The sequence below is a fragment of the Homo sapiens genome, chromosome 20, assembly GCF_000001405.40.
Source record: "Homo sapiens chromosome 20, GRCh38.p14 Primary Assembly".
NCBI classification, from domain to species: domain Eukaryota; kingdom Metazoa; phylum Chordata; class Mammalia; order Primates; family Hominidae; genus Homo; species Homo sapiens.
The window spans coordinates 22580714-22607520 of record NC_000020.11 but is presented as its reverse complement, the minus strand read 5'-3'; the positions used below and the strand labels follow the sequence as shown (position 1 = coordinate 22607520).

Below are 26807 nucleotides of genomic sequence, written 5' to 3'. Positions count from 1 at the left end.
TGAATGAAGAAACAGAGGGATATACTGCCGTCTTAAACCAACCCAAATGCCTCTGCCGCAGTCGCAGTTATTTAGGGTGGAGAAGCGGGCTCTGGCAACTAGAGAAGGTGGCCGCAGCATGGGGACACCCGAATTGAGGAGCTGTTTGGGCAATAAGCTGATTTAGAGAATTAAGGTAAGTCAATCAAATGTGACTGTGTTCCAGCTACATCGACTTTTATCAAAAGTATTCAGCACTTGTGGAAGCTATTCTGAGAGTTTAGTCACATCTACTGCAGACAGCTAGAAAGGTGATTTTACTACGAATTTGGATGCCAAAAAATATAATCTCGATATTCAAAACCCATTTTTTGATTTCCGTGAAGTGCTACCTGGCAGGTCTGGTTGCAAATCATTTTGCAAATGCAAATCCCATTCTCAAAAGTTTCAGGAGTTTTTCTTGTTAGTAGTCCTCATAATTGTTGCAATCCTGGTATAGATATCTTTAGAACAAAAAAATAAAGAAGCCTCCTGGACTTTCAGAATGGAGACATTATGCTAATTGGAGATGGGAGGTTTTATTTGACAATGGTTTGAAAGAAATTCACCAGCATTTATGAAGTCTGCTGGGCTATGAGGTCTTTGAAAGGTACAAACATAGTAAAAGGCAATTTTTTTTCTGCCAATAAGATTAGACTTTGCTAACATTTTAGCTAACCTAACTAAAGCCTTACTGGGAAAGGCCACACGTGGATGCCTTTCAGGGATCACATAACTGGAAGTCCAGAGGTAGGGAAGATTTTGAGTTTTTGATACTGGGGCCCAGTAAGAATGTCAAGGCCTCTGGATTCTGTTTTTCTCGTCTTCTTTCTGTGTGGTCAGCATCATGCAGGGTTGCAAATGGATCCCAGCAGCTCTCATGATTACAAGTTTCTTCCACCACCTTCAGGAAGGGAGAGCAGAGATGACTTTTCAGAAGAGTACTGCAGCTCTTTTTCTAATACCTGCAGCCTGTGTGGCTTACATGGCATAAAGAGTTCACTCTTGAGTTTATACCTGTGGCCAGGGGATAAAGTTGAACCTATTAGTTCAAGAGTGGGCCCAAGCCAATTGCCAGCACCAGAAACTCCAGGCAAAGCATTCTTCTTTAGCAGAAATCTTCTTCCTCTTTAGGGCTGAGCTAGAAAATCCAAACCAGGACACCCATCCATTCCAGTGCCCAGAGGAAGAGCAGCAATTTGTAGCCACCAAAATCTTCATCAAGAGATTAGAATTTTAGAGTAAATCCAAGACAGCATGCTGGAGGCCCTGTTTGAACAGGCTAATGTGGAATAGATGGCTCCATCTCAAGGGGCTAGAACCAGATAGACACCACGTCCAAGGCCTTATCCCAGCCGGTCCTAGAGAGTCTTAGTTCTCGTTCTTCATAAAGGACATTCACCTCACGAGAGCCACATGACCCAAAGCATAATCTCTGTGCAGTGGAACTTCAGCCAGTGGGAGGACAAAGTATTTGAGTGCAAATTAAGTTAGCCCAACACCACACCCCTGTGCCAATGCTGAGAGTAACCAGCAAGACAATTGTCACTCACTATTCTAGCTCTTCCACTGGCCCACTGATTTCCCACTGAAAATAACACTCTCTTATCTTGATTCTCAAATGCTGCTATCTGGAACTGAGTTCTAGTATAAATACGCTAATGATGCTCATTCAGCAGAACCAATGAGGTTTGTCCTGGGCAGCCACAGAAAAGGCAGAGACCTCCAGCTTCTCACTCTCTCAAGCCTGGCAGGTAGCAGCACCATGAAGGGCACCAAACTGTGGGAAAGTATTTAATTTACCTAGAGATGAAAAGGAAGCTGCCAGGTCCCGAGCATCCTCTTTTCTCCGGCTCCTGGATGCCTCCCGTTCCTGCCCTCTTCTCAGTTGCCTTGCATCTGGATTACTGCAAAGTCCATCTGTTTTCCTATTTCTAGTGCACCCTCGCTCTACATTCTAGATGTTTCTAGCAGGTTAATCTACCACTTTAATCATGTGACTTCCCAGCTTTGAAAAATTCTGTTACTCGTCATTCCCTGTTAAAAAAGAAACAGGATTTTGGGCCTGGCTTTCAAGGTCCAGCACAATATGGCCAGTCCCTGACCTCCCTGGCCATCTCTCACCCTCCCCTTATGATCTGTCCATATTCCCACCCTACTATCCAGTCACTATTTCCAGAACATGTCTACATCTTTGCTCCATATTATTTCTCATGCATTCCTCCCAAATGGGATGTTCTTCTGTCTCTCCCATCCAAACCCAGCTTAAATGCCACTTCACTGAGCCTCCTCTCTCAAAAGCAATTTGCTTGACTCTCATCTAGCAACCCAAATCACCATGTGTTGGGTGAATTTATAGGTGTACATGTGAGGGAGCAGATCATGTGTGCCACAGCTCATCCACAGAGGGTCCCCAATAAATATTCATCATATGAGTGGGCAAGAATTTACAATTCTAAGTCATCTCTTATTAAATTACTGCTGAGTTCATCATTTCCTGTAAAGGGAACATTGACATGTATGTCTAATAGGTATATTACTCTCTGTATTCAATTGCTAGGGCTGCCATAACAAAGTACCATAGCCTGGGAGGCTTAAACAACAGAAATGTATTTTCTTACCATTCTGGAGGCCACAAGTCTGTGATCAAAGTGTGAGCAGGGTTGCTTTCTCCTGAAGCCTCTCTCCTTGTCTTGCAGATGGACATCTTACACGTTCTTCTCTCTGTGTGTGTCTGCATCCTAATATTAAATAGGCCCCATCCATTAAATGACCTCATTTAAACTTAGTTACCTCTTTGAAGATCCTATCTATCTCCAAATACAGTCACCTTCTTGGGTACTGGGGGTTAGGACTTTAACATATAAATTTTAGGTGGACACAACTAAGCACATAACAGCATATATATTACATACAAAATGTATATACACATTCACACATAAACACGTTTGCCATTTTTCACACTAAATGTTAACAAGGTTGAATATAACAAAATAAAGAATAAGAAATCTAGACAATATATGGAAATATGTGTAACACAATGTTCAATCTTAAAAGATGATAAAATATCTCATTTACTGTCATGGTTATTAGGTAAAATGCATAGTATAAAGCATATGAATTAAACAGTTTTATTTTAGTGTGGTAAGATTTAGTTTTGTGTATTGATTAAATGGTACTATAGCAGGACTGACATTCCACACCACTGTTCCCGTGTGCCAAGAAAAAAATGACTTCTTTATTTCCTATAATTGGACTCAGCTTTGAAGTTCCTCCCACTTTTTTCCCTGTAATGACTGGGGGAAGCTGCGCAAGCTGGCTTGTGGAGAGAAACAGCCTCCTCCGTGTAAGCCACATCAGTCAGCCTCTTAGGCTATCTATTCTAAAGCCACCTTCCACTATAGCTGTTTATCCTTCCTGTGCCTCTTCAAGGTGCCTCCAGGAAATGCTTAATGTCCCTTCAGGTGTTAGGGGAGGCCTGGTCCCTATGCAGAGCTCCTGTATTTGTGGCTCCCAGGTAAAGAGCATCTCCCCTCCCCTGGTCGAGACAATATCCTCTGGTGCCGCTGCAGAGTGCCGGTTCTGCCTGGTTCTTTGGGGACAACTATGTGAGTTCCTTTTGCTGAAGAGTCTGTTGAGCATGGGCCTGGATCAGGACTGTTGGGGGGAGAGTCCACACACATGGCTCCCTTTCACCTTAGGGGGACTGAGGATCCAACCCACAGCAGGCACGATGGCCTCATCCCTCAGGGACTGCACTCACCCCCACAACGCCCATAGCAATGCCCGGCTCTCTTCCTCACCATGGAGGAGGTGAAGAAGACAACACACAGTGTCAAAACCCCGCATCCCAAACCCATGCCCGTCCTTGCCGTTGTAGAGCTGCCGTGTTGGGGGGTCGTGCTGGGGAGGGAAACAGGAGCATGTGTTCAAGTGTCTCTTGAGTCTCACAAAATACCTCCTAGGTGTTTCCCCACCCTCCCTCTTCCTGAGATCGGCCCTAAGGAAAGCTAGCCTGGGCCCCAACTACTCCTCTCCTTCTTCCTCTGGCCCTTCTCTCAAAAATCAGGAAGATATTCCTATCTGCTTCTTGTTGCCTGCAGTGCTTTCACATGGCCTCCTGTAACCTCCCCTTGTCATGGCTCATGGAAAACCTCTAGGGTCTGAGTCTGTCAATCCTCATTCTGGAGATGTAAGGGAGGATTTGGGAGTTTAAATTTTTTTTTCTCTTTCCCCAAAACCTGGTTTTAGGATTATTTCTCTGCTGTGGGCTCAAGAAGGAGAAAACTAAACCTCAAAGTAGGTCAAAGGCATTTTGTTCTTAGCCTTAGACTCTCAAAGAGTGGCCCTTGGAATAGGAGATTAGCATCACCTGGGGGCTTGTAAAAAATGCTGACTCTCAGCTCTCCCCTCCTCACTCCAGACCTTCTGATTCAGAATGTGTAATAAGACCTTCGGGTGGCTCCTGGGCACTAATGCACGGATCTAGGAAAAACTCCTCAACCTGTCCCTCACGGATTCCCTTTCACTTTCACAGTGGATGGGTTGAAAGAGAATATGACTGATGAGGTGACAAAGGCACCGGTTCAATATTTTCAATAATAAAAATTTGCTCTCCTATTCATCATCAACAAATGTGTATCTCTGCAAGAACCAAACCCCTGGGAAGAACCAAACCCTTTCCATGCCCAGTAAGGTTTATGGTTTTTGAGATGAATTCTGAGACCTGTTCAGCATGCACTTCCCTATGTCCATGTCCCCCAAGCTGTGGGACAACCAAAGCCTGGCAAAGCTCCTACCCTCCACTGATCTCATGCCACCTTCACAGTCTCTGGACAACTGGATGTGTTCACTCTATTTTAAAAGGTTAAGCTTCTGAGGCTCAGTAAAATTAACCAATTGACTCAGAGTCACCCAGCTCCCAAGAGACAGAGCTGGGGCAAAGCTGGGTCATTTGAGTCTATGTCCAATGTCTTTCCCAAGCTGTTGAGAAGGAGAATGCCTAGAGTAAGCTTGTTTCTCTTTCTTTAGAAATAACCACTAAAAAAAAAAAAAAAAAAAAAAAAGTGCTTGCCTTGAGTTAGAACAATTGGTCTTCTCTGTAACTCGGAATTTTCTGTGGGAGAATATGATTGCCCTCTAAGATATCAACTTAAAATGTTAGGATTTTCCTTCATATAATGATGCTGTTGATGACATAACAACTAGTTAAGGATCCAGTTTTACTGGAGGAAACAATAACCACCCTCAAAAGAAATACACCCTTGGCACCCTTTTCTCCTCCTGGAGTAGGCACCTGGCTGCACAGGTGAGTGCTTGGGAGTTTAAAGGCAAGGCCTGCAGCTGCCATGGATGACATCTGTTTCATGATCCTCCCTAAGGGAGCTTCTCAGGCACCACACAGCATGTGATGTAAGTCAGACCACTTCCAAATCAAGTGAAGATCCATCTAGCTACTCTACACCCTGCAATTGCCAACATACAGAGAAACCATATTGAGTGTTCTGGGTACTAATTAATATCTACAGCAGGCCCACTCTGAGTCACCATCACGTGCATTGCAGATCTAATCTCCATGATGCCTGGAGGAAGGAGAAAGCATGATCTTGTTTGAGGAAGATGAGGAAACTGAGGCCTAGGGAGGTTAAGTACCTGCCCAATGCTACTCAGCTCATAAGTGACAGAATCAGACTCAAATCAAGGTCTTGAGTCTAAAGGTCATGTTTTTTCCCACTACTATCCATCAATTTCTCTCTTCAACCAGTGAATACCATTGGTTTAGACCACCTGTTAGGCTGGATGAGAAGTCTCAGGGAGGAGCAATTACTAACAGAATCCTGAGGAAAAAGAATGCCTGGTAGGGGGCTGATAAGAGACCCTTGGGGATAGGGAAGCAGAGCTCCCCAGACATCAAAGGTAGTGACTAACAGAGAAGGTCCTGCCCACTGTGTTGACACAGTTGCAAGGAAAAGGTGGTGTTGATGAGTAAGACCAAGCTAAAGCAAAGCTGAGTTTTTTCCCAGCCCAGTCCCAGCTCCTTCTCACACAACCCTTTGAGAAACAGAGCTTTCAACGTGCAGGACTGGTGTGCCTTCACCTTTTCTTGTCAAATTTTAAGTAAACTCAACCATAACCCTTCCAGGTACTTGGGATATGCTGCAGTTTTAATAAAGACAGACCTTAGAACATTGTAATGTAGAATTTCCTACCAATCTGGTGGCCAGAGATTTCCTTCCCAGGCCAGTTGCCTTCACATTTTTTCTCACAAGAAAATGTGGTGATCCATGCAATTTCCAGCTTAAAAGCAGGAAATTGGATCCCTCTGGGTTTTGGACTCCTAGGAAAGGGGGTGCTCCGTAATAAATTGTTTAAGGGAAGGAACCAACCTCATTACCTATCTCTCAACACCTGCACACACCACCTGTCCACCAGCTGGTGCAGCCTGCAAGCCATTCAACCTACCCTCTCTACCCTCCCAAGTCCAAGCAAGATGGAGGCCTCTACCCAGATGCCTTATGACTGGCTGCTGCTGAGCACTGGCATCCACTCAACGTCCCCAGAGAACACAGACCCCGCCACAGACATCAATGGTGGAGATGAATAGCAATTCCTCTGCGAAGACCCTTGAGAATTCATTATATGGGTTGTTCTGAACACTCCTTTAAACATGCAAATCCCTTCAGTACCGCTGTACTCGTGATGGAATAGAATATGAATCAAAGGCTCAGCTCTTTTTATGCTCAGATCATAAAGTCTGAAACATAACAGGTTTATGTGTGGGTTTTTTTTTTTTTTCAACCAGAGGGCATAGTTAAGGCTTTACTTACTCAGTGCTGTCCGAAAGAAGCTTAGGAAAGGGGAAGTAGTATTTCAAATGTTATCTATTTTAAAAATTAAAATGATTAATGACTAGAACATAAAACTCTATTATAGAAAAAGCCATTGAGACTGATTAGAAATACAGAGAAGGTGGAATCTCCAGATAAATTCCAAAGAGTCTTGTGATGGATTTAAGGTCCCATTAGCCTCATGGGGATCAAATCAAAGGCTTTCGGTTAAAAGTAAATCTGAGACTCAGGCATGAGAGTTCTTACAAGGACAGGAGAAATTCCACCAGTACTTTGCAGCAATGGCCCTGAAAACTGGAGGACTCTTCTCACACATGGTGGGAATTATCACAGTCCTGGTATTTTGCACAAAAGTGCTTCTGGTCAAATTATAAGTGCTTTCCTCTGTAGTCTATTTGAGCCCCCCAGGTATAGTCCCTTTTCTTGCCTCTGGTGTTCAGGGAAGAGCTAGATATCTAGCCTTTCCTTGAAGATTTTCCGTGATGGTAGTATCTTATCAGGAGTCCCTATTCACTGCAAGTGAATCACCACACCAGGAAACTCAAAGCAGGGAAATCACTTACCTTCTATTTAATAGGGAACACAGTTCACCATTACTCAATGCTCTAGCTGACTCTTTCACCACTGAGCATTGGAAATGCATAGTTCTAGAAAATTTCTGTTCAAATTGGGCATTTCCATATGCCTCCTTCTAGTAATGATAATAATAATAAAATTAAATTAAATTTTAAAAAGCCTTGGCCGGGCACGATGGCTCATGCCTATAATCCCAGCACTTTGGGATGACAAAGCGGGCAGATCACCTGAGGTCAAAAGTTCGAGACTATCCTGGCCAATGTGGTGAGTGAAACTCCATCTCTACTAAAAATACAAAAATTAGGGGCCAGGTGCGATGGCTCATGCCTGTAATCCCATCACTTTGGGAGGCCAAGGTGGGCAGATCACCTGAGGTTGGGAGTTCGAGATCAGCCTGACCAACTTGGAGAAACCCTGTCTCTACTAAAAATACAAAAAAAAAAATTAACCGGGCATGGTGGCACATGTCTGTAATCCCAGCTACTCAGGAGGCTGAGGCAGAAGAATCCCTTGAACCCAGGAGTTGGAGGTTGTGGTGAGCCAAGCTCATGCTATTGTACTCCAGCCTGGGCAACAAGAGGGAAACTCTGTCTCAAAAAATAATAAATAAATAAATAAATAAATAAATAAATAAATAAATAACCAGGCATTGCGGCACACCTATAATCCCAGCTACACAAGAGGCTGAGGCAGGAGAATCATTTGAACCTGAGAGATGGAGATTGCAGTGAGCCAAGATTGTGCCACTGCACTCAAGCCTAGGTGACAGAGAAAAACTCCTCCTCAAAAAAAAAAGAAGTCTTGGGCTCAGTGAGCATCCTGAGGGAGGAAGAAGCGTTCTCCATTCTGCATTCAGCTGCTGACCCTCCAGGTGACACTGACCTCACTGTTCCTAAATGTTATCCCTAAAAAATGGGGCAGAAACATTTCTGAATGCTGAGATATCTTTCCAATACCTCATTGAATAGGCCCAGAGATCGTTGGTAGAATATCACTTTTGGTGAATGCAGGTGACTCACCACCCATGACTGGAGTGCAGTGGTGTGATCTCGGCTCACTGCAAGCTCCACCTCCCGGGTTCATGCAATTCTCCTGCCTCAGCCTCCCAAGTAGCTGGGACTACAGGCGCCTGCCCCCGCGACCGGCTAATTTTTTGTATTTTTAGTAGAGACGGGGTTTCTCAGTGTTAGCCAGGATGGTCTCGATCTATTGACCTCGTGATCCACCCACCTCGGCCTCCCAAAGTGCTGGGGTTACAGGCGTGAGCCACCACACCTGGCCAAGTTGATTCTATCTTAAATGAGTTGAAGGGGACTCATGGCCTCGCCATACTTGAGAATGCAGTTTGGGAGTTCAGGAAATGTGATTAATATTATATGTCTACTGGTCTCTCCCTTCAGCCATTCTTAAAGATATTATTCACATTTAAACCTCACAACAATTAAAACACATGTATCATTATCTTTGTTTGATGACTAAAGAGCTGAAGCTCTGCATGGATGAGGCCTCTAAGCTCTTGCCATTAGGAAATGGAGACACTAAAACTTAGACAATATCCAAGCCCCAAGTATATCCCACATGCCTACCTTCCACCTGCCACCATGTGCACCTTTGTGCTTCAGGGTAATTTCTAGCAGCAGAACTCTATCCTACCCACAAAGGACTGGAAGTACCTGGAGAATTAAGACACCTGAGCAGCCATTGTCAGTCAGTGACTGACAGGAGTTGGTGCATAAATACCTCAGCTCCCCTACCCTTGCGAGGGACAACTCTGAGGCACATGTTCTACTCTGGCTCCCAGAGGTCCCAGCAGAGTTAAGCACCAGTGCCCACAGTAGTAACCTGCCTGATGGCAGGCCCCTGCCTGGCTGCCTTCCCTTTCCTCTCTCACCTCATCACTCCCCTACCAGCATTTCCTGGCCAAATAACCTGCTTGCACTCAAATCTTTGCATCAGAGTGGATTTCTGGGAGAGCCAAAACTAAGACACAGAACTTTTGAGCCCAGGTTTTGTTTTCATTTTACCTGACACTTTCCTGTCTGTGTGGGTTTGGAGTTTTCTGGAGAAACCATCAGAGGCCTGATCTACCAGAGAGGTAGATCTCTCCTGCCAGAACTGAGCTGTCTCCACTGAGTGTGGAAACTGGAGGGGATGTTCCCACACCCATCCTCTCTATTGGGGTAGTGCTACAGCCTCCTGAGTTGTTGTCTCAGCTGGGCTCCAAAAAGGCAGCCTCTCAATTGGAGTTTAGCATGTGGTGTGTTTACAGTCAGTGGGGTCAATTGGCAGGGGTTGGGGAGACGGACAGAAGGCAGGAGTGAGCAGAGGGAGAATCTGGTCCCCAAAGCAGCCTTGGCCAACCGTATGGTGAGCCCCAGAGCTGGTATAGTTCTCAGAGTTATCTGAGTTTGGCCGAGATGGCCAGACCCTTGTAGACTCTCATCCAACAGGACTGGATTTGGGCCACCCTAGAAAAGACCATGACCTCAAGGGAAGTGCTCTCTGCAGTTGAGTTGACCCCTGAAAGGGCTGACAGCTGAAGGCAGCTTGTGGTCTGTACTCCCAGCAGCAGACCAACAAGCCCAGTGACACCTCAGTGTCTACTGAATAGTGATTCTGGTTTCAATCTCACTTCCCTCCACCTTACTGAGAGAGGAGCTGTTGCAAACCCATCCTGGGCTTTTCTCTCCTGCTCAGAACACTCTATGACTCCCCATTCCCAAGAGAAAAGTCCAAACCCCCTAGCCTGAAAGCTCCTCAGAACAATTCTTTCTTGTCTCTGAGCTGTTCTCGCTGCCCTTCCCAGGAAGCTCCTGCCCTAACACCCGCTGCCCAGTTGCTCCCCTGTCTTTGTGCTGGCATTGCCCCCCAACCCCAACTCCAGGAGCCCTGTGTCACTTTCGGCCTGGCAAACTTTCTTTTCCTCCAGTGTTTGGCTTAAATATCAGCCCCTCAGGCAAGAGGCAACCCTCCCTTCCAGCCAAGGAAGAGTGAATTGCTATTATCTCAGTGGTGCACAGTCTTGCTGCTGCAATAATGAATTTTGTTGTGTTCATACCTATTTCTGGTTTACTCCCAGCTGTGTGAACTCCTGGAGGACATTCATGCTGCCCCATGAGCTGCGATGTGAGCTTATGGGGCATACTAGGGATTTGGTGTTTGTCAAATGAATATTGGCTGAGCTTCTCTGGGAAACAAACAAACGTGCCTTTAAATAAGAGCTAAGGCCAACATTAGGTCACACCCCTGTCACAACTGTGGCTGCAATTAAAAAGGAGAGGGCCATCTGCTGTGGGGCTTTCAGCAAGCTTCTGCACCTGCAAGCTCTTCATCATAGACTGCTCTTGGGTGCCCAGAGCCACCTGGTATACTCTCATAGACAGCTTCACGTGCCTGGGATGTGTGAGACCCCTGCCCCCAGGAGGGCCCTTAAACCAATGATGGGTGCAGCGCTGAGCCTCACTCACACACCTGAGTCCCCTTCAGGACCAGTCTGAAGCTCCTCTCTGCTGGGCATAGCCTGAAATGGCCCACACTGGGCTTCCCTGCCTTCCCCACTCCCTTACAGAACTCTCTGGGAAGCACAGTGACTTGGTAATTCTCATGCACAGGAGTCCTCTCCTCAGGCTCTGCTTCTGGGGAACTCACCTGAGACACCAATAGTAATAGACTGACTAAAGAACTATGGAATATACACACTGCACTGCAGCTGAAAAGAAAAGGTCATTCTATACGTGTGAACCTGGGAAGACCTCAAGTCATACTTTAGTGTGTAAAAGTAAGTTGAAATCTGATAAGTGAGCTAAAGTACTATTTAAGGAAAAGAAAATACTGAGTAATGCTATTGGAAAGTTAAGAAGTGCATACTCCTTCTCAAAACCTACCTCTGTGCACTCCAGCGCTGGGTTCTGCACCCCCTGTCCAGTGACCGACCTGTCTTCTGTGTTTCCCAGCAATGAGCAAACCAGCTGCTGATTATGGGGACCTCTGCTCCCACTCGTCAACTAAGAAAGTCCCTTGGAAAATGGAGCAATATTTTTTATGAACTATGTAACTATGTTGGTGAGCTTAAAGAGTATGACTTTCTTGGTTACCTGCAATGAATCCAAGTGGCATGTTTTTAGCTGATGGGTGAAACTTGACAATGGTTCCACCCCCAGAGCAGGCCCCCAGGCTGGTCTGAAGCAGCTGGTATGGAAGAAGGTGTCAGACTGGCTCTGGCAACTGAGGGTCCTTCTAAAAAGATGGATGGAGGAGGCTTCTGCCAGATTCAGGTCACCTGGAGAACATCACTTGGAAGAAAGATGGCTTTACAGATGGGAGAGGAGGGGAAGTGCAGAGACTACTAAAGGAACAGAAAAGGAAATCAGAAAGTGGAATGGTGAACAGCATGTTACCGGGGAGGGTAAAGGGGAGGTTGCAAAAACATTTGGAACCTGAGGCTTCTAGGACCAAGTGACCTCAGGAAGAGGGCAGAGAAAAAATGAAGGCAGTGTTAGCATGTAGTAAAGAGTTTAGAAAAAAATGGAAATATGGAAAAGTTGGGAGTTATTAACAGCAGTAAAAGTGAAATGCTGACTTTAACCTTCAAACGAAGGGAAAGCCATGGAATTGAAGACAAGGTCTGGCTCTTGGCTAGGGAGAGTCACAAGTGGGTAGAACATGTTTTCCAATTCTGGAGCAGTCTTTGGCCCAGAGCTCAGCACAGCTACTATATCATGTATAGAGATGAGAAATAATCTTTTCAAATGTGTGGTGTCATTTTGAGCAAATGTGTTTATTTTTTTAAGAAGGTTGTTTTAAGTAAGAGTTGAGAGGACAAATTATAAAACATAGTATAATGCATCTCTCTGTGTAAAATGTTGAGAACTTTCTCAGCTGTAATGCTGAGAAGCTGCAGAGGATACAGGAGAGAAAAAAAAAAAAAAAAACATTGATTAAATGTTCTCAATATGCCAGACCCTGGGCTAAGCCATCACCATGAGCCTCCACTCATGTCATCCTTACCTAGTCTGAAGAGGTGGCTTCTGCTATTATCCCCCTTTTCCAGATGAGAAAACTGAAGCTTCCTTGCAAGGAGAGCTAATGGACCCTCAGCTCCCAGTGTATACGGTCGCTTAGGCTTTCTAGATGAGAACCCACAGTAAGGAATGCATTTTCCATCCTGATGCAGACACACACATTTATAACAGAAACAGAGGTTTTCCAAGACTCTGTTTACTATGTGAGATGCACTGAGAACTTCTATTCCATTATTTTATTTTCCAGTACTTGTAATGAAGTAAATTGCTGTCACACACATTAATGGGTCACAAATGGAAGTTTGAAAAGCTTCCATCTAGGATTTGTTATTATCTAATTCTATCTCTTCAAAACCAGTGCTCACAGGTAAACTGGGTTTTTAAATGCAAGTAACATAGAATCTGTGCTCTATTCTCCCATCCACCCATCCATCCACTCACACATCTACCCATCCATCCATTCAATAAACATTGATTATCACACAGACTTATAGCCCAGATTCCTCATTACAGGAACTGATGCTATCTCATCAACTCTCTGCTCTCAAAATGGAAAAACTCAAATCATCAAACCAGGCAAAAAAGTCAGTAAATGGCAGATATACATCTTAAAAACATCCACTGAGAAATTATAGATGCTTCCAGAGCTAACATCTTTGTGCATCTCCCTATCTCTCCACCCCCAGAAAAAGAAATCTTCCTTCAGACAACCAATCACAAAGACAAAGAAACATGCAAAGCATGATAAGTGAAAACAATCACCATAATGTTCCAAGATGTTGGTATTAGAGGCATCACCAGGCATAAAAAATGAAAACTGAAACCACGCATGCCCAAAGTGTGCTTGCATTTCTTGCTTCTGAATTTGTTGTGAGTCCTGCTAACCATGACCACAGGCTGTTTAAAAGTACACCATTTGCCTTATTTAATTTTCTTCTGAAGTCATAAATATTAATTAAGTGAAGCCACATAGAGCCTGCATTTCAATCCTTTCACTTCCTGAGGACCATAAGCAATTAAGAGCCACAGCAATTTAAGTACTAGCTGGTTCTTTAGGTCTGCCCCGTGACAACCACTTTTTTTTAAAATTAAGTCAGATTTATTAAGTCTTAGTGGTTTCTTTTTCCTACCTAACTTCTCCTGGCCTGTGGGTGTTCCGAATTTAATTTTTCCTCTTATAAATAGGAACTATTTTCCTGCAGGGGAGGGGGCCTGGTCATTTTCTCTAAAAGACGATGCAGAAAAGCGTCTGTTTTGATTAATAAGAACCAGAAATATTATGTGCAGCATGTCAGCTAGCTGGTGGCCAAGACCGCACTTATCAGTGTTTGTTTAGAATTATTTTATGACAAAAGCAAAAGAGATTATTGTCCAATGTAAGGAAGATATAAAGTAAAATGTGGAAATCCTCTCCCAATCCTCCTAAGTCCCACGCTCTAGGTGTATCATTATTAATAGTTTGATGTGTAAACTTCAATCCTTTTCCATGCAGTGACAGAATCAGGGTTTATTTTTATAAAACTTAAATCAAATTACTCATATCCTGCAACTATTTAGCTCATCATTATTAATATTTTGATGTGTAAACTTCAATCCTTTTCCATGCAGTGACAGAATCAGGGTTTATTTTTATAAAACTTAAATCAAATTACTCATATCCTGCAACTATTTAGCTCTTCATTATAAAATCATCATACTTTTTATATTATTTCATAGAGATATCACTGCTTATAATAGCTAGACGATACTAGGTAATAAAGTTGGGTTATTGTTTATTTAACTATATTTCACTAGCAATAAGATCTTGGGTATATTGTAGATAAACTGCGCACACACACACACATTAAATACATACACATATATGCATACACACACGTACAAATGCACACTATTCCAATAACCTGGAAACTTTACCTCTGAGTATTTTCTTTTCTCCCAGGTTTCTGATAACTTCTCCATCTAACTAAAGGAATGCCTTTTGGGAAAAAAAGAAAATTATAAAATGAAAACAGGTCAAGATTTGGGTCAGAGGGCCTAGATTGTGATCAGAAGGGTTGGGTGAGCCATCAATGTCCCTCACCCCAGTTTTCCCAAAAACAAAGTGAGCTCTCTTATGTAAAAGGCTTGCATGAATCATCAAGTCTGAAGAAAATATTAGCCTCTACCCTGACTTCTCTCTAGTCTTTGAGAGCTCAGTCATTTGGAGGAGGGTAGGTAAAGGAAACTCTTGGGTAATGTACATGAAGAAAGAATTCTGTATTTCTAAATTTAATATGTTAAGAGGGAGAAAAGAATGAAAGAAAACAGGTGAGTAGAGATAAAACAGTCTCTTTTCACTTTCTACTTAACTATGAGAATGGGGATAGTGAGTGTCAGATCAGAGCTCCCACCCCAAGGAACTCTGACCCATGTTTCTCAACATTAGCATCTACTTAGCAGTTTATTTTGAAGAATTAGGAGAATGAATTTGCCAGATTTCACACTTAAACGGCACATCTAAACTCCTAAACTTTTGAAAGGTATAGACTTATTCATGTAGACTCCTCCGGAGAATATTATGTGTCACTTACATCATAATTTTTCATATAACATAGTATAATTCATTCCCAGGCAGCATCACATATTCCAACCTTCTAGACTAACAGAGGCAACCTATGGGGTGATTTAGTAGCCAGGTGTGAAAGGGACAACTGAAAAATAAGTTTGTGTGTTATATCTGGTTCCATCCAGGAATCTCAAAGCAGCTTAGTATAATTTTTCACCAGTTTTATTATCCCCAATCCACATTGCCTTAAAAGGACACATTGATTAATTCTTGGTCTAAATTTTTTAGTGTTTCTACATTAATTATTTATGTGCCTTTATAAATATGGTAGGAATTTTTTAAATTTGCCCACAGAAAGAAATATTTTCTGTCTCTTTTAGCAGTTCATATGTGAAGGAAAGGAACCTTTCCAGAATGAATGCTTCATTTAAATTCCCCCAAAGGGAAAAATTATCTTATCACTAATTATGAATGTATATTGCAAATTAAATAAGCATTAAGGGAATGGCCTAATTTGAAAAATTCTTCTCATCTTTGAGACACAAATTTTAATTTCTGAGCATTTTCTGTTATATATGTTGGGAAAAAATTGAGTGGTGCACTAAGGAGAACAGTTGTATTTCTTAACAAAGGGGGTAATTGTGAAATCTATGGGTTCAGTTTTAATTTTTCCTAATAATGTTATTTTCTCATGCATGGGTAGGCAATGCCAACTCAATGTCAGTCCAAATTTTGTGGAGGAAATTTCCCATTTCCAGTTGCCATCACAAGAGACTCAGGTCGTTTCCAGGAGGACCATGAAAATCTCATTTGAAACTCAATAAGCAGGAATTTCTTCCTCACTTTCCCTTCTTTTTGATCTTTCTATTTTGTTTCTTAAATGCATATTGGGATCAAGGAAGAGGTTCAGGGGATGCTTGGGAGAGGTCGGTCCTATCCCTTTTTTCTTTTGAGTGGGAAGCCCTGCATAGCCTTCAGGGCCAGCCCAGCCCCAGAGGTGGGCAACTGGACACGATCAGTCTGTGTTCTCTGGGGCCTCTTCCTTAAGGAGAAAATTTAAAAGAGTCTTGGTGAGTGTTTGCTGATGCAGTGAGGTTGCAGCTGACACTACTCAGTCTGGCTTTTATATATATATATATACTTTTAAAATGATGTTTCCACATTGTGAGCTGATAATTGCCACAGGTCCCCTTTCCTACCCTGTCAACCAGGGAGGTCCCTGTCTCCGGAAAACACAGCATAGGAGGGGGAGTGTGGGGTGAGCTAACAATGCACCACAGGGGGCATGGGGGGTGGGCAGCTCTGCTTTGCGGGAGGACCACTACATTGCTTGGGCTGCACAGACAAGTTCTGACTTCTGTGGACTGGGGACCATGAACTGTGGCTGTGAGAAGAGTTGGTGTGGCTCAGAGCAGCTGAGAGGGGAAGGACGTAGATGCACTAGGGAACCTGCAGAAGCTGAAAAGGAAGCTGTACTTCTCATTTTATCAAGTCATATATCACCACCCAGCTAGGGACAGACTACAGGATCCATGAGAGAAACAGATCTTTAAAGCTGTGCTATTCCACCTGTGGTCAGTGGACCAGACTGACAGCATCAGCATCCCTTGGAAGCTTGTTAGGAATGCAAAACTCAAGCCCCTCCCTGCGGAATCAGAATCTGCATTTTAACAAGATCACCAAGGGATTCCTATGCACATAAGGGTGTGAGGGGCCATCCCAGTCCTAGTTCATTTGCCCAGTCCTAGTGGGTCACTGTTGCTGTCATATGGTACCCCTCCCTGAAGCTCTCCTTTTTGCAGAGAACTCCACAATCCTTCCTCTGGAATTACTCTTGGGAGTAAAATTAACAAAGAGCTAAATAATGCAAATGCGTGCATTACAAAGCATTAGGAGCTATGTTTGACACAGGACGAGGCTCCCAAGCAGCATCCACCGCGTGAAGCTGTACCTCTGGCCACCTTCATCCTTCTTTCTCCTGGAAGCTAGAAACCCCTAGTTATCCCTTTGATAGGAAACTGATATTGTACAGGAATTGCCAATGGCGACAGGAGAGAATTGGGCTACTGCAGGGCTGCTTGTCTATATGACAGCTGAGCCCTTGTTTTTTCTATTGATTCTGGGTCAAACCAGGCTCTTCGCCTTGGGTTTTAGTCCATCTCTGCCCGCAGCTAGACTATTTTAGAATGGTGAAATGTATAATTTTCCCTTTGGAATAGGATTTTAGCACTTGGAAATTCCAAGGTCATGATTGGAAGAAGGCTTAAAAGTAAAGAGGCTGGGACCTGAGGCAGAAAAAGGGAGAAAAGGTGGAAGTAAAAGAGGAAAACAGACTTAGTTTCTAGAAGCCCATGGCTTTGCCTATTTGTCCACCATCTGGAATATAGTAAGTGCTCATTAAATATTTGCTGAATGAATCCAAAACATATAAACTCCCCATCCTTGTCATTGCTTAATATTAGAGCAAGTTATATATAGCTCTTTTTGTTGATTCAGAGACTGTGTACCATTTGAGATGGAAACGAGAAGCAAACAACTGCTTCCTAAGCATCAGCCAGGAAACCCAGGACTTAGTGGCTTCTTTCTGATCTCCATGTCTCTCGTATGCTGCATTGTTTCATACTTGTTGAAAGTGCATTTGTTTATCCAACTAAGTAATCAGCAGCTCATAGGCCTAATGGTATCCTAAGAAAGAATGCCTGGGTTTGGATTCTCCAGGTAGTCTATGACTGACGCCCCATGACTCTTGTCCTTCATGAAGCTTACTGCTTGCCTGTTTGGCAGGAATAACTGAGATTTCTCCCAAGAATAACATCCAAATGTATGAAATAGCTCCCAGGGCCACAAATGCAGATGCATCTAATTTAAGCATCCCTCAAAGAGAAGTTTATTCTCACTCAGGTTGGCATGTTGTTATTGCTACTAAAACTTGTCATTTTTTATTTTTATCTCTTCCAATTATTTTAATTACCTGCTATAATAGTCCCACATACCAGAAATGTGCTAAAAACACAAGAATGGTGAACAGGTTGTCAAATATATACCAGAAATATTTGTCAAACCCTGGCCCAGAATGGGCAGAGCACTGGCTTTCTTCACAGACCTCCACAGATGGGAGTGGAATCCGCAACTGCTCAATCCATCCACTGAGAAGTCCCATAAAAGATGGACAATCCATAACTGAAACCCAACCTTCGGCACAACGATCAAATTCTACATGCATAAAGCAAGAGATCTGTGTGCCAGATCCATCTTAAAGGCACCCCACCCAGAGGACAGAGTCTGTCTCCTTCCCCTAAACAATATGCAGAAACCACCCTGGTAAGTCAATACCTGTGGTTGACATGAATATTTCTTCTCTTCCTCTCTCAACTCAGGGAAAATCACAGTTCATCCCCTGATACCAGTAAGACAAAATAATAATGCCTTGTTTTTCAGAACTCAAACCTGTCGTCAGTTTGTATGGTGGCTTCTCTGATCTCCTTTCAAGGATGAGAACTGAATGAATATTTGCACAAGTTATTTTGCCAAAGTTTCCTTAACATCAGATCCAATATCCTTATTACATATTTCACCATAAAATAGTAAAAGAGAATGTAATAATAAAGTAGTGATATAAAATGATACCACCCATACTTCTAAAAACATAGATTGAAGATATAATTCTACCACCCAAACATAATCAAGGTTACTAACATCGTATTTATTTAATTCATTTTATTTTCTCATTTTAAAAATGTATGTTTCATCTTTTCCTGTGGATCTTGCGGTGGAGAGATAAATTGCATGCAGGTGCACACAGTATTAAACTTAAAATGTTGCACCTTGCCTCCCCCTTTATCAGCATTTTCCTGAGCCTTTGCTGAAGGCTGCAACATGCTGAATTTTTTTATTCTTTTACATAAATACCCTCTGATAAGGTGTTCTTAGCTAATGACCTTTTCAATTGCCCTCTCCGTAAACAACTGGTCTTTTGACCATCCAAGAACTTTGAAAGCCAACATAAGTGTTTGAAGGTGTGCTCAGTGCCAAGTAGACAAATTTTGATGGTCTAATTTTTTTTTTTTTTTTTTTTTTGAGATTGAGTTTTGCTCTTGTTGCCCAGGCTGGAGTGCAATGGTGCGATCTCAGCTTACTGCAACCTCTGCCTCCCGGGTTCAAGCGATTCTCCTGCCTCAGCCCCCGAAGTAGCTGGGATTATAGGCATGGGCCACCACATCCTGTTAATTTCGTATTTTTAATAAAGATGGGTTTTCACCATGTTTGTCAGGCTGGTCTTGAACTCCTGACCTAAGGTGATCCGCCCGCCCCGGCCTCCCAAAGTGCTGGGATTACAGGCATGAGCCATTGCGCCTGGCTGATTTTTCAGTACATTTCAGAAATAATAACCCACCCAAAGAAAGTGAAATGTTGATTATAATCTTTGACACACGATATGCCTTTTCTTCATTGAGACTTGAGATTCATCCAGAGAATGAATAAGGGGTGTTTGGACATCTGCTTTTTTACCAATTAAAAAGTTTATAAGAAAGTAAAAATGCATACTTTCCCAAGACTGTGCTGTCACTTTTCCATCCCCTCTGCCTTCATCTTGCCTACATATCTGCCTTATGTTGCCCTAAACACGCTGGGGAACTTTGAGCAAGGCCTTGCCTGGGTATTTATTCTCTGAAAGGTTTTAGGAATTGGAGTATTAATGGGACTTTTATTGTTTTTCTCCTTAGGTATTTCATGGGTTCTCACTTAGGAAAATTGAGTTCTGTTCAATGATGCCCCTTCTGCACTGGTTGGTTTCATGTGACAAAGAGAGCTCTAGGGAGGACTTTTGCTAGGGGAACGCAGATTGTTCCAGCAAGATGAAGGCCTAGGAGACCTGGATGGCCTGGGTGTTTTCTTCCCAGGGAGAGCAGAGGAGGCCTGGATTTGAACTCGAGTCTTATGACTTTGCCATTGAGGCAACATCCAAAATAAAAATAGCATGCTAACCCCAAGCACAGTCCTCAGTTATAAAGCAGCTTTATTATAGAAGCCGGCGGTGACCTAACAAAATGGAAAGGGAAGGGCTCTGTAGGTCTCGGCCCTACATGAGGGTAGACTAAAGAGGGATTGGGAGAAACATCTGCAGCCCGAGGTCCCCGCGAACTTTTTCCTGGAGAGAAACTCCGGGAGCAATCTTCAGCATTCAAGCCTGAGCCAGAACTCTGGATAGCCCTTTAGAAATCAGAACTCCGGGAAGGAGGAGCTCCAAAGACCGCTGAGCTGGAAGGGAACGCGAACCCCAGGCTGTCTGAACGTCCCTGCTTCCTTCGCAGCCCGTTGGTGTCCCGCTCCCAGCTACCTAAAGCTAACCGTAGACCCCGCTCGCATTCCCATGGGCAGGCGTGCCGGGAGGGTGCGGGAGCGGCTGCTCCGAGACTCTAGGAGGCGTCATCCAGCCCTACCCTACCGGAGCTCCCAGAACCTCGCCAGGGTGCAGGAGGCCGTTTTGGGTTCGCGCAGAACCTAGGGGTTGGGGCTCCAAAAAGGCCGAGTCCCCCCGAAGGCGTTTTCGGAGAGACTGGGAGAGCGGGGGAGAAGGTGCTCCGGTGCCGGAGCTGCGGGGTTGGGATCGCGGGGGTAAATGAGGACTCGGGTCGGTCCCGCGGGCCTGGCGGCCGACAGGGGGCGCCCTGTCACTGTGGAAGCCCCCGCCGAGCGCTCTCTGGTGTCCCTGACCCCGGCCACCAATAGTGCTGTGGTGGAGGTGGGGGCTTCCAAAGTCCGCTCCTTGGAAGTGTAGCGCCCCCTTCTCCTGCGGCCCTCCAGCTCGCTCCTTCTGTTCCTGGAATAATTTCTGGGACCAAATTTCCACCCAGGAGCAAAATAGAAAGGGAAGTGGGCACCCACATAAGCTCACAAATACTCTCATACAGCACACGCACAGACTAGGTCAACCATAACATTCTTTTGAGTTTTGGGGGTGCGGTGTGTGTGTGTGTGCGTGTGTGTCTGCCCAGGCCTGCGGAGAAAGCTTTGAAAAATTGCTCATTCTTTGAGCTCCAATGCTTACTCCTCTTTCCCTGCCCTCGGTGGAGTGATGAAGTTGCTCCCATCCACGCGCTAGGTGGGACCCCGTGGGAAATGCTGGGGATCTAGCCCCTCTGACTCCGCTGCGCACACCTCCACGTTCACTACGTAGCCGTACACACCATCAAGCTCCTTCCCTGGCGCACCGGGCTGGCCTGCCCCTCGTGGGAGCCTTCAGCACTCGGGGGACCGATAGGCACGGCTTCCGCGGAGATACAGACCTTGAATTTGTGGGAGAATCCCGCCCTGGCGCTCACTCGGCGGGCTTATTAATGCCCTCTTTATGAAGTGTCCAAACCATCTGCATTTCAGCAGCAAAAGATGCTGCCGGCGGCTTCCTTCTGTGTCCCAAACCGTGCAGACCTGAGAGTCCTGGGGTTAGGGAAGTGGTTCCCCTGTGCCTACTGCTACCTCCTCGCTTGCCTTCCAGCCTCACCCTTACTCAAGCTTCAATGCGAAGCTCCGTGTCTGCCATCTCGCCTGTCTTCTGCCACCATCGCCCCCAATTTTGGACAGGTGGGCTGGATGCCCACTAGTTCCTATGCATTCTCTGTGTCTGAGGGGGTGGGTACAGGGCTGGATCCCCAAGGTCCAGCCAGGTTTTCAGAACCAAGAAAGAGCCTCCACATCCAAACACCTGCAATATCCCCCCACTCCAAATCTGGGCTCACAGGCTAACCCAGAACAGAAGACAATTTTTGAACCCAAGAGCTGCTGGGGAAATAAAAGTATACGATTGCTGGAGTTTCTAATTTCTATTAAGCAGTCCCTCTGGAAGACAGAGAGGACAGAGACGCTCTTGAAGTCAACTCCATATGCCCCATCATTGATTCCTGGATTCTTCTCTCCTCACCCCTCCCTCCCCACCTCCTGCCCTGTTTGTTTTAGTTACGAAATGCTGTGGGCACCTCGGTTGTGACTGAAAAGTAACCTTGAAACACGCCGGCCTGAATATCAGAGACAAATCTCAGCCTCCCAACCGTCGGCCGCTGCTAGAGGGGCTGCTTGCGCCAGGCGCCGGCCGCCCCACTGCGGGTCCCTGGCGGCCGGTGTCTGAGGAGTCGGAGAGCCGAGGCGGCCAGACCGTGCGCCCCGCGCTTCTCCCGAGGCCGTTCCGGGTCTGAACTGTAACAGGGAGGGGCCTCGCAGGAGCAGCAGCGGGCGAGTTAAAGGTGTGTACGTAGTTTTTCTAAATAGGACAGCGCTTTGCAAATTGGCTGTCATGGACTTGCTGTTTTGACAGAGAATGAGCACTGAGAGCGAAGAAACCCGGCATAAATAAATCCGGCTTTCATAGGGATCTGCCGGGCACTGAGGCTGGACGCGCCCTCCGACAGGCGCACCGGGCGCCCGGCGCGATGAGACGGGGCGGGGGCTGGAGGCCGGAGCCGCCCCAGAGGGTGGTTTCCTCCCAGGTCCCTCCTTCCTCAGGGGACTCGCTGTGGACCCGGGAGGAAAGGGGGCTCGACCAGGGATCCCGCGTGCCCGATCGCCCGCCCAGCCCGCTCCCCTGGCCCGCCCAGGAGTGCGGGGCGCCGCGGCGGTGGGGCGGACGGCAGGCGCTGAGGGGCAGGTGCGGAGCGCCGGCTGCGGCTACCTCTCACCTAGGTGTGAGCTGATTATTCAAATGGGCTGCCCCGGGTCTGGGGATTGGAGGCCCGCGCCAGCGCGCCGCGCTATATCACCAGCCTCCCACGTCACTGCGGCACTTGTCCGCTCCGCGGTCCACACCTCCTCCTCCTCCTCCTCCTCCTCCTCCTCCTCCTCCTCCTCCACCACCACCACCGCCTCCTCCTCCTCCTTCCTCCTCCTCCTCCCCACCCCCCCACTAGCCCCCGCGCCGCGCGCTTCCCGCCGCCTCGGGGCAGCTCGGCACTGCCAACCTCAGCCGCCACCCGGCAGCCCGTGAGCGCGGCGGCGGCGGGTGCTCCCTACCGCGGGGCGCTGGCCTGGGCCTCCTCCGCTCCTCGCCCCCCCCCACCTCCCGCCCACTTCCAACTACCGCCTCCGGCCTGCCCAGGGAGAGAGAGGGAGTGGAGCCCAGGGAGAGGGAGCGCGAGAGAGGGAGGGAGGAGGGGACGGTGCTTTGGCTGACTTTTTTTTAAAAGAGGGTGGGGGTGGGGGGTGATTGCTGGTCGTTTGTTGTGGCTGTTAAATTTTAAACTGCCATGCACTCGGCTTCCAGTATGCTGGGAGCGGTGAAGATGGAAGGGCACGAGCCGTCCGACTGGAGCAGCTACTATGCAGAGCCCGAGGTAAGCGCTCGTCTTTTCCAGGGGGAAGTGGAGCGGCGGCGCTCGCTCCTTCCCCAACCTCAGGACCGCTTCCCTCGCTGGCACCCCCCCACCCCGCCCCACAACCCCAGCCTTTCTGGGCAGCCGCCTTTTCCGCCCTCCTTGGAATCAAATGGGTCTCTTTTTTATACGACACACTGTTAGCCTTGAGATAATATTAACTTTGTGATCAAATATTGACTTGCGGCGCCTCCAAATCCTCTTCGTGGCCGAGCCACGCACTATCCTAACAGAGTTATGTTTGGCAGCGCGCGGCTGGGGAGGGGTGGGAGGTCGGCCGGCGAGGGGGTGGGGAGCTGAGGAGGAGAAGATGGGTAGGAGTTGGGGGCTGAAGTGGAGGCAGAGTCAAAGACTAGTGGACAAAGAGAAAGAAAGTTTTTGCCTGCAAAGCTCAGCCGCGTGTGGTTCAGGTCTCGGTTCTTTCCCTATTGCCCCGTTCAGTGCCTCCAGCCGCCCCCGCACTCCGCACAGGCACTGCCTTGCAGTTTCCCTGGGACAAGGGAGGGGGTCCCTGGAGGGAGACCGGACAGAGGGGGCCCGGGACAGTCTTCGCTGGAGGCAGCCCGAGGCGCCCCGCGCGTTGTCCCGCAGGTTGCTTGCTGCGACCGGAGGTGGCGTCCGGGGACTTCGGGCCTCGGCGCCAGCTCAGTATGCTGGTGGGAGAGTTTGGGGAGACTCTGGGGTAGGGGAATGTATTTGGGGTGCTGGCTTGGGAGTACTCCATGGGACCCCTGTTCTAGAATCTGGGCGAGGTGGAGAAGGGCTAGGAACGGGCCACATGCCCAAGCAGCAATCCGCTCGCCACCTTCCCAAGGGCGATCGATCATGACTCTCCCTGAATGAAACAGACTCGGAGTCCGGAGACTGGGCCATCGGGGACGAAAGGGCTCCCCGGAGGCCTCCCCGGACGCGGAGGCCTGGGCGGTGGGTGGGAGGTCTGGGCACCCTCCAGCCGCGGTGCTAACGCTGTCGCCTCCCTCCCGGGGCTCTGTCCGCAGGGCTACTCCTCCGTGAGCAACATGAACGCCGGCCTGGGGATGAACGGCATGAACACGTACATGAGCATGTCGGCGGCCGCCATGGGCAGCGGCTCGGGCAACATGAGCGCGGGCTCCATGAACATGTCGTCGTACGTGGGCGCTGGCATGAGCCCGTCCCTGGCGGGGATGTCCCCCGGCGCGGGCGCCATGGCGGGCATGGGCGGCTCGGCCGGGGCGGCCGGCGTGGCGGGCATGGGGCCGCACTTGAGTCCCAGCCTGAGCCCGCTCGGGGGGCAGGCGGCCGGGGCCATGGGCGGCCTGGCCCCCTACGCCAACATGAACTCCATGAGCCCCATGTACGGGCAGGCGGGCCTGAGCCGCGCCCGCGACCCCAAGACCTACAGGCGCAGCTACACGCACGCAAAGCCGCCCTACTCGTACATCTCGCTCATCACCATGGCCATCCAGCAGAGCCCCAACAAGATGCTGACGCTGAGCGAGATCTACCAGTGGATCATGGACCTCTTCCCCTTCTACCGGCAGAACCAGCAGCGCTGGCAGAACTCCATCCGCCACTCGCTCTCCTTCAACGACTGTTTCCTGAAGGTGCCCCGCTCGCCCGACAAGCCCGGCAAGGGCTCCTTCTGGACCCTGCACCCTGACTCGGGCAACATGTTCGAGAACGGCTGCTACCTGCGCCGCCAGAAGCGCTTCAAGTGCGAGAAGCAGCTGGCGCTGAAGGAGGCCGCAGGCGCCGCCGGCAGCGGCAAGAAGGCGGCCGCCGGAGCCCAGGCCTCACAGGCTCAACTCGGGGAGGCCGCCGGGCCGGCCTCCGAGACTCCGGCGGGCACCGAGTCGCCTCACTCGAGCGCCTCCCCGTGCCAGGAGCACAAGCGAGGGGGCCTGGGAGAGCTGAAGGGGACGCCGGCTGCGGCGCTGAGCCCCCCAGAGCCGGCGCCCTCTCCCGGGCAGCAGCAGCAGGCCGCGGCCCACCTGCTGGGCCCGCCCCACCACCCGGGCCTGCCGCCTGAGGCCCACCTGAAGCCGGAACACCACTACGCCTTCAACCACCCGTTCTCCATCAACAACCTCATGTCCTCGGAGCAGCAGCACCACCACAGCCACCACCACCACCAACCCCACAAAATGGACCTCAAGGCCTACGAACAGGTGATGCACTACCCCGGCTACGGTTCCCCCATGCCTGGCAGCTTGGCCATGGGCCCGGTCACGAACAAAACGGGCCTGGACGCCTCGCCCCTGGCCGCAGATACCTCCTACTACCAGGGGGTGTACTCCCGGCCCATTATGAACTCCTCTTAAGAAGACGACGGCTTCAGGCCCGGCTAACTCTGGCACCCCGGATCGAGGACAAGTGAGAGAGCAAGTGGGGGTCGAGACTTTGGGGAGACGGTGTTGCAGAGACGCAAGGGAGAAGAAATCCATAACACCCCCACCCCAACACCCCCAAGACAGCAGTCTTCTTCACCCGCTGCAGCCGTTCCGTCCCAAACAGAGGGCCACACAGATACCCCACGTTCTATATAAGGAGGAAAACGGGAAAGAATATAAAGTTAAAAAAAAGCCTCCGGTTTCCACTACTGTGTAGACTCCTGCTTCTTCAAGCACCTGCAGATTCTGATTTTTTTGTTGTTGTTGTTCTCCTCCATTGCTGTTGTTGCAGGGAAGTCTTACTTAAAAAAAAAAAAAAATTTTGTGAGTGACTCGGTGTAAAACCATGTAGTTTTAACAGAACCAGAGGGTTGTACTATTGTTTAAAAACAGGAAAAAAAATAATGTAAGGGTCTGTTGTAAATGACCAAGAAAAAGAAAAAAAAAGCATTCCCAATCTTGACACGGTGAAATCCAGGTCTCGGGTCCGATTAATTTATGGTTTCTGCGTGCTTTATTTATGGCTTATAAATGTGTATTCTGGCTGCAAGGGCCAGAGTTCCACAAATCTATATTAAAGTGTTATACCCGGTTTTATCCCTTGAATCTTTTCTTCCAGATTTTTCTTTTCTTTACTTGGCTTACAAAATATACAGGCTTGGAAATTATTTCAAGAAGGAGGGAGGGATACCCTGTCTGGTTGCAGGTTGTATTTTATTTTGGCCCAGGGAGTGTTGCTGTTTTCCCAACATTTTATTAATAAAATTTTCAGACATACCAAAATTGAATGAATTTTACAGTAGGCACACAGGGACCTGCTCCCGAGATTCTGCAATTAACATTTCATTATACTTGCTTTATCACATACTTGTCCATCTATCTTCACCTCCACTGGTCAATCCATCTTATTTCTCTAAATCCACTTCAAATTTGCAGATACCAGTACACATCCCCCTAAACACTAAAGCAAGCACATTATTAAATGGAACTTGTATGGTTTATGGTTACTTTTTGAATTTGGGGGTTAACTTTACACACAATGAAATACACAGATCCCAGGAAGACCA

At 47.3% G+C, this 26807-nt stretch overlaps 1 protein-coding gene and 1 long non-coding RNA gene across 5 annotated transcripts, besides 6 other annotated features; both read left to right on the top strand.

Annotated features, from left to right (window-relative positions):
* Positions 1-3: 3 nt before the first annotated feature.
* On the top strand, positions 4-19999 carry LNCNEF (lncRNA neighboring enhancer of FOXA2). The gene is made up of 3 exons (NR_109883.1): positions 4-175; positions 18110-18329; positions 19733-19999. It is a non-coding gene; the product is annotated as a lncRNA neighboring enhancer of FOXA2 (long non-coding RNA).
* Positions 16449-17044: an enhancer, noted in NCBI's record as "OCT4-H3K4me1 hESC enhancer chr20:22571115-22571710 (GRCh37/hg19 assembly coordinates)". NCBI's record gives its function as "activates a minimal SCP1, AML or CMV promoter by ChIP-STARR-seq in primed H9 embryonic stem cells {active_cell/tissue: H9 hESC(primed)}" and the evidence as "EXISTENCE:reporter gene assay evidence [ECO:0000049][PMID:30033119]".
* Positions 19898-20652: an enhancer, noted in NCBI's record as "H3K4me1 hESC enhancer chr20:22567507-22568261 (GRCh37/hg19 assembly coordinates)". NCBI's record gives its function as "activates a minimal SCP1, AML or CMV promoter by ChIP-STARR-seq in primed H9 embryonic stem cells {active_cell/tissue: H9 hESC(primed)}" and the evidence as "EXISTENCE:reporter gene assay evidence [ECO:0000049][PMID:30033119]".
* Positions 20653-21408: an enhancer, noted in NCBI's record as "H3K4me1 hESC enhancer chr20:22566751-22567506 (GRCh37/hg19 assembly coordinates)". NCBI's record gives its function as "activates a minimal SCP1, AML or CMV promoter by ChIP-STARR-seq in naive H9 embryonic stem cells {active_cell/tissue: H9 hESC(naive)}" and the evidence as "EXISTENCE:reporter gene assay evidence [ECO:0000049][PMID:30033119]".
* FOXA2 (forkhead box A2) lies at positions 22031-26523 on the top strand. Of its 4 annotated transcripts, none has more exons than NM_153675.3 (3): positions 22031-22246; positions 23260-23329; positions 24367-26523. In NM_153675.3, exons 2-3 carry the CDS (start codon positions 23261-23263, stop codon positions 25669-25671), a joined length of 1374 nt encoding a protein of 457 aa, NP_710141.1. In that variant the 5' UTR covers positions 22031-22246; position 23260; the 3' UTR covers positions 25672-26523. The 4 variants fall into 4 exon arrangements, with proteins under 4 accessions (NP_710141.1, XP_047296089.1, NP_068556.2 ...); XM_047440133.1 differs by lacking the exon at positions 22031-22246 and adding an exon at positions 22506-22684; NM_021784.5 differs by lacking the exon at positions 22031-22246 and having other exon boundaries at positions 22949-23329.
* Positions 22164-22919: an enhancer, noted in NCBI's record as "H3K4me1 hESC enhancer chr20:22565240-22565995 (GRCh37/hg19 assembly coordinates)". NCBI's record gives its function as "activates a minimal SCP1, AML or CMV promoter by ChIP-STARR-seq in primed H9 embryonic stem cells {active_cell/tissue: H9 hESC(primed)}" and the evidence as "EXISTENCE:reporter gene assay evidence [ECO:0000049][PMID:30033119]".
* Positions 24344-24916: an enhancer, noted in NCBI's record as "H3K27ac-H3K4me1 hESC enhancer chr20:22563243-22563815 (GRCh37/hg19 assembly coordinates)". NCBI's record gives its function as "activates a minimal SCP1, AML or CMV promoter by ChIP-STARR-seq in naive H9 embryonic stem cells {active_cell/tissue: H9 hESC(naive)}" and the evidence as "EXISTENCE:reporter gene assay evidence [ECO:0000049][PMID:30033119]".
* Positions 24917-25488: an enhancer, noted in NCBI's record as "H3K4me1 hESC enhancer chr20:22562671-22563242 (GRCh37/hg19 assembly coordinates)". NCBI's record gives its function as "activates a minimal SCP1, AML or CMV promoter by ChIP-STARR-seq in naive H9 embryonic stem cells {active_cell/tissue: H9 hESC(naive)}" and the evidence as "EXISTENCE:reporter gene assay evidence [ECO:0000049][PMID:30033119]".
* Positions 26524-26807: the final 284 nt, after the last annotated feature.

Excerpts from the sequence above, each read along its gene's own strand:
- FOXA2 (NM_021784.5), top strand. The coding sequence starts at position 23,243 with ATGCACTCGGCTTCCAGTATGCTGGGAGCGGTGAAGATGGAAGGGCAC. Across the intron at positions 23,330-24,366 it reads GCTACTATGCAGAGCCCGAG|GGCTACTCCTCCGTGAGCAA; the intron begins GTAAGCGCTCGT and ends CTCTGTCCGCAG.